We start from the raw sequence: 13,628 nt of genomic DNA, 5'->3' as shown, positions 1-13,628 counted from the left end.
TTTGACATATTGAAACCAAACTCTTCCAGCCTGTTTCTTCTGTAATCTCAGTGAGCAGTGAAACTATCTTCTGTTAACCAAACCAGAAATTTACCTCTGAAACTCCCCCTAAACATCACTTCTTCCAGAAAAACCTTCCAATCTCCTGCATTTGGTGCAGCATCTTACCCCTAACTTCCTCTTTCAACTTACCATGTAATTCCTAGTTTATCTGTCTCCTCTACTGACTACATAAGCTTTCCAAGATGATCCTGTTACACTGCTTTATGCACAGCTCCTAGCACATTATAGGCAGTTATGAATGAACACCAATATTCTTTATGGCCAGTGCCTAGCACATTTGAATGAGTATGAATATATTCTTCTGGAGCCAAGGGATATAGAGTTTCCTGCCTGAAGGCTCTATCTAGAGTAAGTTTAGGAGCCAATCTTGAGAAGGTAATTGCATGCTTCTGCTGAGTGGCCAAACAGAATCTGTCCCCTGAGGAGTCCTCATTATAGCTACTCATATGATTATCTACTCATATGAGACAGACAGAGACTAAGAATAATGAATGAAGGAAAGAAGAGGAATTTTTTTTTTTTTTTTGAGACGGAGCTCGCTCTGTCACCCAGGCTGGAGTGCAGTGGCGCTATCTCGGCTCACCACAACCTCCACCTCCCGGGTTCAAGCGATTCTTCTGCCTCAGAGTCCTGAGTAGCTGGGATTACAGGCCCGTGCCATCATGCCCAGCTAATTTTTATATTTTTAGTAAAGACGGGGTTTCACCATGTTAGTCAGGCTGATCTCGAACTCCTGACCTTGTGATCCGCCCACCTCGGCCTCCCAAAGTGCTGGGATTACAGGCGTGAGCCACCGCGCCCGGCCAGCTGGAAGATAATTTTTAAAATTATGTCTTGGCCGGCCGCGGTGGCTCATGCCTGTAATCCCAGCACTTTGGGAGGCCGAGGCGGGCAGATCACCTGAGGTCGGGAGTTCAAGACCTGCCTGACCAACATGCAGAAACTCTGTCTCTACTAAAATACAAAATTAGCTGGGCGTGGTGCCACATGCCTGTAAATCCCAGCTACTAGGGAGGCTGAGGCAGGAGAATTGCTTGAACCTGGGAGGCGGAGGTTGTGGTGGGCCGAGATTGCACCATTGTACTCCAGCCTGGGCAACAAGAGCGAAACTCCATCTCAAAAAAAAAAAAAGAAATAAAATAAAATTACATCTAGATCTCAAATCATAAACTACCTGGACTGGTGAGCAGGGTGAGTGGGCAGGAAGCCACAAAAATCTCCAAGTGCTTACTCATGAGGAGCCATCATTACAGCAGTGCTATGGAGCCAGTTTATCCTGAAGGGGCCTTCTCAGCATCTTCCCCCGCTGGAAGATGCAATCATTCTTGGTTAAGTTTCATAAAGAGTTGCAGGAGTCCAAGCCAGGTCTTTGCTACAGGCTGGATTCACCAACCTACCATGCAGCAAATTCCTCCTTGGTCTCCATGAGGGGAACAGTGAATCACCAAAGTGGAATTGCCATAGGATGAAGGTCAGCAGTGTACTCCTTACCACTAGGGGCTAGCTCAACACTCCCTCAGCACAGCCACCCCATGATGGGTCCAGATCAGTTAATGACATTACCTGGGATTATGAAAGTGTTCACTATAACCACAGGGATAGGTGAACTCCCAAGACAGTGACGTAGAGCAGCAGGCAATGATTTGAGTACAGGGCATAACTACTCATGAAAGAGGGAACATCTGAGAAAGTAAGTTGTCAGAAGGAATGGCTTTACATTGTTTTGCAAAAGTGTCTCAAAAACTGGAGTAGTCAGTTGTATCCAATACACCTGAGGAGCCAAGGAAACTGACATCTATTGCGCTCTCTGTATGAGGACTACCAGGAACCAAACTGGGGCACCAATCAGGGGGCACTGTGATCTTTAGACTTCCCAGCCTCCAAAAACAGTGAGGAATGCGCGTGTAAAGCCACCCAGTCTGTGGTTTTTTTTTTTTTTCACAGCAGCCCAAGCTAAGACAGCAGTGAGTGCTCTTACAGGGGAGAAAAACAAAACAAAATATCGAGCCTCGAGGATACATTTGCCCAAATCAGTTAAGTGTAATACCAGGATTCAAACCAATTAGATGCAGAAGCCACTCTATCACCTCTCTTATCACAGGCATACCAGAAAATAAAGCATCCAATTCCAGAAATGAGAAATACTGACTCTGTGTACCACAGAATAAGTGCTCTGAGTTATTCATCAAGGCAGACTCAACAGAAACATGAAAATGTCACATTAACAGGTCCATATTAAATTCAGTCATAAAATTGTATCACTGGTTGAAAAATTAATTTCCTATCACAAACTCTTGATTACATTACACCAACAGGACAGAGAAATTACATTTTTGTTTAAATTGGTCAAGTTGAAGGATGTACATAACAAAAGCCAAACACAGTATCTGATATATCAAACACCAAAATGTTTAATCACATGCAAATTAAAAATCGTATAGGATTTTTTACTCACTTGAGCAGACTGTAGAAAAGGTTAATCAAGGTTGGGCGCGGTGGCTCACACCTGTAATCCCAGCACTTTGGGAGGCCGAGGTGGGTGGATCACAAGGTCAGGAGTTCGAGACCAGCCTGGCCAACACAGTGAAACCTCATCTCTTCTAAAAATACAAAAATAAGCCGGGCATGGTGGCGCACGCCTGTAATCCCAGCTACTCAGGAGTCTGAGGCAGGAGAATTACTTGAATCCGGGAGGTGGAGGTTGCAGTGAGCCACGATGGTGCCACTGCACTCCAGCCTGGGTGGCAGAGCGAGACTCTCGGCAAAAAAAAAAAAGAGAAAAAGAAAAAAAAGAAAAGGTTAATCAAGAGACAGTGCAGTATTTAACATACTGCTGAAGACCGGATATACCTGTATCAGCTAAACAAGCAAAAGCAGCAATTACTTTCAAATAAGTTGTACCTCAGTTTTCGAGTATTATAACTCCACTCCCAAGGTTCCTTGATTGTATTACAAGTTATGTCTAAAACAATACTTTGCTTTTAACAGAAATGGAATTTCATTTCAACCATATATGAAAGCTACACATTTGAAGGCCATTCAATATCATACTTTTATACTTAATTACCTCTGAGAAAATGGAGCAAATTTTGACATTCTTCCACCTTAAAAACATTTTCTCCTACCTACATTCTAACACCCCTTACTCATATAATATTACCAGATATGTTGTTAGTAAAAATCAGTAGTGCTGGCCAGCGTTTTAAAACAAACATCACTAACTACAAAGATACTCTACTTGAAATCAGGTCACAAAAAACCAACGCTGCTTTTCAATTAAAACTCAAAAAGGGCCAGGAGCTGTAGCTCACTCCTGCAATCCCAACACGTTGGGAAGCCAAGGCAGAAGGATCCCTTGGGGCCAGGAGTTTGAGGCCAGCCTGTGCAACATAGCGAGGCCTTGTCTCTACTAAAATTAAAATAAATGTAGCTGGGTGTGGTAGTATATGCCTATAGTCTCAGGTACTCGGAAGCCTGAAGTGGGAGGATCACTTGAGTCGAGGACTTTGAGGCTGCAGTGAGCCATGACTGCACCACTGCACTTGAGCCTAAGTGACAAAGCAAGACCCTGTCTCAATTAAAAAAAAAAAAAAAAAAAAAGCCTAAGAAATAGATGACTATTTTCTTTATACTTTTCTGTATTTTAAAATATTTTGTAACAATTATAAGTCAAGAAAAAATTTTAAGTGTAGCCCTAAACTCCAGCTCCGTTTTGCAAAATAAGGCATAAATTAAAAATTGTGTGCAAAATCGTAATCGATGCTTGGTCTTAAGTTTGACTGTTGTGGTACTTGAAGGATAATGAGTAGAAATTCAATGACTCAATGAAAATGACAAATGCTAAACATACACCCAAAACAAAACAAAAAAGCTAATTAAGGAGTTACAATAAAAATCTTTATTTAGGTTTGGTCAGTACAGGTAAGATATACTGGAGTCACAGAGCAATATGCATTAACAGGATACAACAGTTCATAAAAACTGAGTAACTATGCACACAAATTTCTTAAACAGTCACCTAAAGAGAAAATGCACAGATGTATGGTGGAAAAAACTGTATCTAACACTGAAACTACTACAGGACTCCATCAATGAGTCCAACTTTTAGTGATAAAAAACTACTGTACTGGGCAAACTTGGCAGTCATAAACCCACATCTACTCTAACAAGTCTGAATGGTGCATAAGTACAGTAACAGCATGAGTACGAATGCCCTTACACAGCACAGATTCTAAACAGACAGATTTATACAGACATCATTGTGTTGTATTTTAAGGAAAAATTTCCATTTACAATTTCACATTAACTCATATAAAAATAACTTGACCCTACACAAAATGTCCTTTTAGCAACATTCAAAGTAATTAACTGTTACAATTTCCAAAGCGGCAGAAGTATTGAAGCAAAAAAAAAAAAAAAAAAAAAAAAAGAAAAGAAAAAAAAAACAAAGAAAAAAAACAACAAAAAAAAACCAAAACGTACACCCACAAAAAGGCAAATTGTGACAAAAGTATGCATTAATTTTCTGGACAGTATCCTCTCCCAAATTAAATGACACTGTATAAAAATTTGCTGAAAAAATATTACAAAACTGAACCCTGTACATTTACACTTGAGTCCAAGCCATTCTGAACGTGGCGGGAACCCACAGTTCGATTACCTTTCCCACTCACTGCTTTCTCCTCTTGAGGGTCATGACTGGAGTCTGTGTCATTTGATTGGTGTGTGAGAGAGTTTTCACTGCCCGTGGGAGAGTCTACACTTTCATACCCCGCACTGAGTTGATTTACGTAACCACTACCTCCTCTGCCAGTTCTCTCCTCTGAGCTGTTGGAGGACTTATTACCATTCCCTGGAGAAGAAGGAAAGTCATCTTCGGTTGTGTTGCCCTCCCTGTGAAATCCAGACCCAGACGTCCTCTGGCGGGAGGAGCTACCATTACTTGGTCCGTTTGTCAGACGACTGCAGTCTTTACTTGTGGCCTCTGACTGTTCTACAGGTTCAGAAGCTGTAGTCCTGCTGGTACTTGGGGCAGAGGCCTGAGACTGCTGCTGCTGGTACTGAGCCAACTGCTGGCGTGTCTCCTTCAGCTGCTGCTGCAGAACTAGAATGGTACTCTGCATACCCTCTACTTCTTCATCAAGCTGGATGATGAAGTCATTCAGTTCTGTGCAAAGGAGAGTCAGACCAACTTTAATATCGTTTATAACATTGAAAAATGTTTCTTTAGTGCCTGCCACAAAGCAAGGGAGTCAATAAACGCTCAAGTAAACAAATACAATTCTAAAATCACACTACATTTAAAAATTTTGCTTGGAATCTTAAAATATGACTGAGTTTGTTTTGGGGGAAGTCAGATACTTAAAATAATATACAGTTGGCCCTCCACATGCAACAATGAATTCAAGCAACTGTAGAAGGAAAATATTCAAGGAAGAAAAAACTGGGTCTATACTGAACATGTACAGATTTTTTTTCTTGTCATTATCCCCCAAACAATACAGTAAAATAACTATTTTCCTAGCATTTATATTGTATTAGGTACTGTTAATCTAGAGATGGCTCAAAGGGGAAGATGTACATAGGTTTATATGTAAATATGACATCATTTTATATGAGGGGCTTACTGTGGGAGGTCCTGACACCAATCCACCATGGATACCGAGGGCAACTGTATTAAGCAACCAAGTTAAAATTGTTTTGATCCATCTTGCCATATGCCTGATTACAGCCCCAAAGTTTGACTCACGTTTACCTATGGGCCCACTATGGCCAATCCCCTTATTCCTGATCCAGTGCCTTAGTTCCATAGCAAGTCTGATCCTTAAGGATAGTGTGGTCCTCTATAACACTCCAAAGAGGCCCATGTTCTCAACCAAGGACTGTTACATATAAAAGGACAAAAGTCACAGGAAATAATTCCTGAAGATTTTGAAAAGGTAGGTAGTTCAGAAGAAATTACTTGGCTACTGATCATCTTTGCAATTAACCAGAGACACTAATTTTCAATTTAAAATTTCAAAGAATTTGGATATTTTCCTTATTAATAATGCACCTTACAAAGAAGAGAAACAGAGATACAGCTACACTTGCACTAAAAAGGATGGAGGCTGACAAGTTTTATCTCAGCAAATTTAAAGATTAAATCTCTTATTCACTAATAAAACCTTCACAGATACAATCAACTTTATTACTTTCAGATCGCTGAAAACTGCCCATGTTTCTAAGATTTACACTTAACGAGAAATGCTTATTCTCCCTTTCAAACAATGAATACAAATTTGTCCATCTTGTTAAGTAATACAACACCCTTTTATCTTTTACCAAATCCTACCCCCAACTAAAAACAAAAATGTAAGAAATTTTGAACAATAAAGAATTAGGAGGGTGGGGATAAACAAACTAAAATTATATGGCTTTGTTTGCGGACTCAACTAAAAATGCTTCACTCACAATAATATACAATCATAGGGCAGAGGTTAACAATGTACAGAATCTAACCTATAATATTCATGACTGGCAGTTTTAAAAAGCCAATGCAAAGTTGAGACAACGTTCCAAAAAGAAACAAACCCCTTACCATCCTGACTGCTTTTAAGCTCCTCACTGTATTTCTTCTGTAAAGCCAACTCTGCTTCAAGTTGTGCAATACGTCCCTGGGACAGCTGCCTTCCAAGCTCTTGATTCTCCTGGATAAGCATTCGACACTTCGCCATTAACTTTTTCCCTGTTTGGCTGCAAAGGAAAGAGCCATCCATCACAAAATGAAGACAAAACTCTCTGTCTTTGCTTACAATTATTACAGTGATAGATGTAACACATACAAACATAACTATATCACAGCAGATGCTTCCCCATAATTACCATCTTCTTTTCTGGGACACATCCATCTTCTGCATTTCAGTATTTTGCCAACACAGCAGTAAAAATAAACCCTAAACAAAAAGTGCCCAAACAGCTACACCTTGTTTCTATTACATCAATAATCAATTCTGAAATCCATCTATTTTCATCTCAAATTATCATTTGAAATGGAAACAGAGCCAGTTAATTAACACACACCTTGGCTATACCAGTATTATTACACTAAGGAATCTAGCGCTTTATCAGAAAAGTTCTTGAAAAGGTACATGCAACATCAATCACAAATATTTATGAAAATCAGTACCTACAAATAAAAATGAATGAGAGTATTTATTCTTGCTAGAAAAACATTTAATAAGGATTTTCCTTAACAGGAAGTCCTCCAGCATGGGCAACATAGACTCCAACTCTACAAAAAATTTTTTAAAAAGTAGCCAGGCACACATGCTTGTAGTGCCAGCCTCTGGAAAGGCTGAGGTGAGAGGACTGCTTAAGCCCAAGTGGTTGACGCTGTGACCATGCCACTGCATTCCAGCTTCGGAAACAGGGACCCTGTCTCAAAAAAGAGGAGGAGAGAGGGAAGTTTTCTGGTACATCCATCTTCCATAACTCTCAAGAATATTATCTATTATATTAATTGAGGCACATTCAGCAGTTAAGGTTTTTTTTTTAAAGACTTAAGACTTTATTGGAAAAGATCATCCTTTTGACACAAAAATAAGACCAGTGGTCACGTATCACAATTCAAACACGCAAATATCTGCCAATCTAGGAGTGTCACACTTTCCACAGATTATAGTTTCCAAATGCTAGTGCAACATACTACTGAACCTATGTGCACATACATAGCAATTGCAAATATGTAATGAAAAGCTCAAATGTTTCCCAATAAAATTTTACTGCTTTTCTTTAGCCTCAGCAATAAAAGGAGAAATTATTTGCTTGTTCTTGTAATTATTTATGAAAAAAGAAAAAAAAAGAAATGATCACTTTTAAAGGGATCTAAGTAAATAATTGTGATATTTACCTTTGAGACTTGGATAAAGACAGTGTGACATTCTTGTCCTTGGGGTAAGTCCAGGATGACCTTATGGGTTAAAACATTTTTTAAATTCTAGTCTTTCCTTCTTCTAGTGAGGCTTTCACTTGCCTGATACACTACTTCAGTATGCCTTATAAGTTTAAAAATGAGAGCATTTTGTAAATATTTTATCAATCTTTGAAGTGTTGCATGGTTCTTTCACCTACAGCATTTTTTTTTTTTTTTTGAGATGGGGGTCTCACTGTGTTGCCAGGCTGGAGTGCAGTGGCGTGATCTCAGCTCACTGGAGCCTTGACGTCCCCAGGCTCAGGTGATCCTCCCACCTCAGCCTCCGGAGTACCTGGGGACTATAGGTGTGCACGAGCACCCCCAGCTAATTTTGGATTTTTAGTAGAGATGGGGTTTCGCCTTGTTGCCCAGGCTGGTCTCAAACTCCTAAGCTCAAGTGATCTGCCTACCTCAGCCTTCCAAAGTGTTGGGATTACAGGCATGAGCCACCGTGCCTGGCTGCATGTTTTCTAACCTAATGTAATTCAAGGAAAAGTTTGTAATTAAGCTTTCTTCCAGAAAATACCTGAAGAGTTCAACCTGGGTTACTACTGCTCAGAGGAGCCCGAGGGTGAAAGCCACCAGTGAGCATGTGGTAAAGGCTTTATTCTTTGATATGATAACTTTATTAGCTGGTGTTCTTGTTCACTGCTACTGTAGCTCCAGATTTCCACCATTTCCCATCAGCACTCTCAGGCGTTAGCCTCCACTGAACATCCACTTAGAAATTAAACAATGGGAAAATGAGAGATATGCAAGATTGTCAAAAACAATGGAATTCCTTCCACTTTACTGCCTATGCTCTCAAAACTGTCTTCTTGCAAAGTATATATATTTCATTGGTGTTTACAACTAACCTTCTTACTATATGAATTTTAAAGAGTAGAAAAAGACAACTGTAAGATACATTAATCTGTGACCTGACTTAACCCCATATAAAAATGTCACAAATTCTAATGCAAAAAAGGTTTCGTTTAAAAAGTCATACCTTTTAATAAATAAATGTCTAAGCTAAGATAGTCATATCACGTTTAAAACTAGTGATTAGTAAAATAAATTTTAACAAAATCACAGTTTTGAAAAAATAATTTAATTACAAGTAGTTGTTTTTGAAATAATTTTTTAAAATTACAAACAAAAAAATCAACCCATTCCTAAAATCGATTAACCCACAAACATAATAGAAAGCACTTTGAAAGATATACCTCTAAACACTCTAAAATGTGTGCATTCTCACATGAATGAAATATTTTAACTGAACTGGACAGGTTATTTCTGGGAATCTTTCTTCCTCAAAATTAGAACAGAAAAACAGTAAAGCGAAGACACACACGTGCGTGCGCGTGCACGCAACCCAAAGCAAAACCCATTCCACCACTGGAAATATTCCAGACGGGATTGCCTGAGCCATTATTTGTTTCAAATTAGTGATGTATTTATAGTACCTGATATACTCTGGCTTACAGCCAATTTTATAGAAAAAAATCCATTTATAAGTGATTCAAATAAATTATGATTCCTTAATATAACGGAAATATACTATGTAAGCATTAAAAATGTAGTTGTCTAGATACATTAAAAAATGGAAAAATGCCAAAGAGACCAAGTAAAAAAAAACAAGGTGCAACTCATCTGTGTTTATGGTATGATCACATTTGTTTAAAACAATATACATAAAATAACTGTATATGCATAGAAATTATCTTGATGATACCCAAGAAAAAGTAATAGCAGTTACTGCTCTTGGAGAAGAGAATGAGGATGTCAAGGTCACATCCGGGAGTGACACTCACTTTTCATCTCCCCCTTTCTCTACAGTATTTCAATTTTATACATAAGCATGTATTATCTTATTAAAAGAGAAAATTTTAACAATGACAAGAAAAAAACCATAGAACTCATGACTGTTATCTAAGTGTCAAAGAAAGATGCCTGCTCAATTTGAGTACATGTTAATAATACATTTTATGGATTACTCTTCTACTAAAATCTACTAAAAAGATACTTAGGCCATTTCTACTGTGAACTTAAATGGCATAAAATATTTACAAAAGCCTTAATGCAAGCACATAAGCTAATTTCAAACAGATCTGGTTACTTACCCTCCAACCCTCACAAATAGTGAGAATTTTAGAAGCAGATTTCTTGCTGAAAAGTCACACAAACCACTTCTTCAACCCACCCTCTGCCCCACAATCAGTTCCCTAAAGCACAAACATATGATACTTACAATTGATTTGAATGATTAAGAGAGAACTTAAGTCACCCTTGTTAAAACTGCACTTAAACGTTGGGACAAGCTGGAACATTTATCTTCCACTCATCTTAGACTCCATTATCACCAAGCGAAAATTTGAATTGGTGACTTATAGAATGATCTGACGGAAAAAATTCACCTCCAGGATTGGATGGAAGCATGAAGAAAATAATGCCTCATTTATCTAAATGATTAAATGAATTTGCTAGAAATGATCACTATACCTTTTTTCAATTCACAAAATGTCTTACTTAGGCCAGCCCACAGTTCCAACACATTATCTTCTGGCAGACACCCTGTGAAGCTGTCCCACATTACTTTCTACTGCAATACCCTGGGACAAAGTGTCATAAAAGTAACAAGTGTCAAGTCTCCTTGTCTTTTATGTAGGTCTTTTAAAAATGAGGCACAGCGCCTTTTCCTTCACTTTGAAGAGCACAGCAACAGTATTTCCAAAATGAATCTGCTCTCAACAGGCCCTCCCCGCCCCAAATTAAAATGTTAAAGAGTACAACAAAATCATCATAATATTCTTTGAACTTAAAAAAAAAAAAAAACCAACTATTTCAAGGCACATTTAATTTAATATCAAGAGTGCAATACAAAAGGCCCAAATACAATGAAGGAACACATTCCCCCATTAACACCAACGACAAAGCTCTTTTAAACATGTGCCTGTTGAATGGAACGGGGATTTCATAAAATTCACTAAAAAAAATAATGCAGTGAGTCTCATCACAGCTAATATCCTTATACAATCTAGTTGTGAAATGAATGTTTATAATGCTTCAAACAGTTTCAACCTGAAGTTTGATACCACACCTTCATGTTTGTACAGTCCTCAGTAAGATTATCTACAGTTTTTGCAACCATTCAAAGAACAAACCATTGAATAAAACCACATTGATTAAGGCTCAAGCAAGTAATATAGAGCCCCAAACTAAATGGTTAAATATATGCGCTACTTGTACGGACATCTATTATTTGATTCTCTCATGACTATTGAAAGTTGGTTCTCAGCAAATAAACCCTTTAAAGGCAAAATTCACCTCATTTGAGTTTTGACCCAGAAGTTCAACAACAATCATGAAGTCCACAGTCTTATTGGCAAAACTGATACACAGTGTCTCTAAGTCACTATGCTCAAGGTTAAGAGCGATGCATATTCCGTTTTTACATTTTACTGGAATTTTACATGTTCAATTCATGATTTAAAATCTCTAGGTTTTCATTCCTTCAAACTGTCTGAAGACACAGTGTGCCACAGACTTAAGACTTCTGTTTCTCCCTCTATTTTCTTCAAACAGAAACATTTCTCAAGTGTCTACATGTTCTAGAAGGGGAATTTTTCGGAGGTGGCCACTTCTTCGGAATAGTCCGACGCCATCAGGCCTCTGAAGCAAGGGGAAGGGGAAAAGAAAAAAGCTGAAACACAAGGTTCATCTGGTAAGTTTTACATTAACCATTACAAGCTGGACAGTGTAAGAATGTGGCTTTTTTTTGGCTCAAAAAGTCTGAGTCTTGGTGTGGAAACGAGTACTTGGCTGTCCCACCACAGCTTTCTCGTAGTGGGACTGTCAGGGAAGTCTTGACTGGGGAGTATGATTTGTTTACCTATCAGGCGTAAACTTCCAGGCACTCAGTTCATTTTGGGCTTGTTCCAGTTTGTCTTTAGTCTGTTCCAGTTCACCTTTCATTTTTAGGAAAAACAAGTTGATCGCTGGGTCTACCATTGTTGATCTCAGTTGGGCAACGCTCGGCTGCTGGACTTGCTTGAGGTACTGGATTTGAGTCTGTGCAAAGCAAAAGAAACAATTACGACCAAATCAAAGGAAACATACATAAGAAGGTGGGGAAAACTCCCTCCATTCACTTGATTTACCAACTCTTTCATTAAGCTCCTCCCCTCTTTGATCCTGAAATTCTCTAGAAAAATCTTAAAACTTTCTAGAAAAAGTACAGACTAAAAACTATTTGATGAATATGCTAATTACCCCGATCTGATCACTATACATTATATGTATTGAAACATCACTATGTAGTAGTCCTTGAATATGTAAAAAACTTATTTGTCAATTAAAAAAATAACTATTTAAGGTTACTCACTTAGGAATTGAGGCCATTTGATTACATCTCCAAATCTGGGACTTAAAGTGGCTACATACATTTTACTTTACAATCCAAACATTACCAAAAAACAAACGAAAATCAACATTATATTTACTAAAAATGCTGACAACCCAGTGGAAAAAAGCAAAGTTTAAAATATTAATTACCTAAGAGTTAATGAAGTCTTTGGTTTGCTTAATTTTTTACCTGTGGAAATTATTCTATGTAAAGTCCCCTAAAAATACATCAGGTGCAAGATTATAACTTAAAATACACATTTGAATTTCTAAAGGAAAAAATATACAGTACTTATAGCTACAAGAGTTGCTGTTACAGCTTTATAAAAGCAAAACTCTATAGGACCTTAAGCCAAAATAAAGTATAATTCATATTTTTCCCCTTCTGAATAGATCCGAATCATAGAATTGTAAAGCTGGAAAGTAACTCACCTAATCCAAACTGCTTATTTTGAGATTAAATAACCCAACTGTTTAGTTCAGTGCCATAGCGGGACTACAATTCTAGTTCTCCGGCCTTCTGATTCCCAGTCTAGAGCTTTTTCCACCATACCAGAACCCTTCTACTTACATATGAAACCTTCAATTTCGACTTCAGTTGTGCTATTTACTAGCACACTAAAAATACATTTCTAAAATATGAAATATAGTTATTAGCATTAAATTCATCATTTTCTTCATACTCAAAGTAGATCTGGCCCAAGATCTAACTCCATACTAAGGCTTAAATAGGATTACAGTTAAAATTTTCTAATATAAATTTAGTAAAAGGAACAAATATACTAAGTGGTTTGGGAATATATTTGTTTCACTGAGCAAAAATCTAGTACAACTGCATAGTCAATGTGAAGCCAGCTGCTAAGATAACAGAGCGAGAATAAACCATGACTTACAGTGCACTCCATGTACTGACAGGACTGATTAAAACAGTCTACAGCACTGACTGAGACTCAGTTACTATTTAGCTTTACAAAGACCCAATAGTCAACACTTTCATTCATGAAAAGAGAGGTGAATCAGACTAGAATAAATTCCATGTTCTAGGGAAGAGAACACTGAGTAAAGTGTTTTCAAAGTTAGTTTTATTCCTAAATCTATTTTGAGTTGATTGGCAAAAGACTAAATGAAAAACAGAAATACCACTGAGGTGAACAAAAATGACAGATTTTACTTACCAACAAAATAAAATATAGTTAAGAATACAGTATATAGTTAAGAATATAGTAAC

General features: G+C 37.8%; 2 protein-coding genes across 11 annotated transcripts in view; one reads left to right on the top strand and one right to left on the bottom strand.

The window, feature by feature from the left end:
- The window catches only part of SOD2 (superoxide dismutase 2), a 93,213-nt gene that overhangs the window by 2,024 nt on the left and 77,561 nt on the right, over positions 1–13,628 (top strand). Inside the window, exon 2 of the mRNA NM_001322817.2 lies at positions 11,582–11,720. The gene's annotated coding sequence lies outside the window, so the exon portion shown is untranslated. The remainder of the gene's footprint in view (positions 1–11,581; positions 11,721–13,628) is intronic.
- WTAP (WT1 associated protein) overlaps positions 3,939–13,628 on the bottom strand; it is a 29,627-nt gene continuing 19,937 nt past the window's right edge. For 5 of the 10 annotated variants that reach the window (XM_017011514.3, NM_004906.5, XM_047419578.1 and 2 more), the window contains 3 exons: positions 11,889–12,067; positions 6,644–6,798; positions 3,939–5,230 (listed from right to left, as the gene is read on the bottom strand). In XM_017011514.3, coding sequence (XP_016867003.1) covers positions 4,647–5,230; positions 6,644–6,798; positions 11,889–12,067 — 918 coding nt within the window. In that variant the 3' untranslated portion in view covers positions 3,939–4,646. Of the gene's footprint in view, positions 5,231–6,643; positions 6,799–10,838; positions 12,068–13,628 lie in introns of those variants that run through there. The other 5 variants (XM_017011516.3, NM_001270532.2, NM_001270533.2 and 2 more) reach the window with 2 other exon arrangements.

Source organism: Homo sapiens, chromosome 6, assembly GCF_000001405.40.
Source record: "Homo sapiens chromosome 6, GRCh38.p14 Primary Assembly".
NCBI lineage: Eukaryota > Metazoa > Chordata > Mammalia > Primates > Hominidae > Homo > Homo sapiens.
This window is presented reverse-complemented; position numbering and strand designations above follow the sequence as displayed.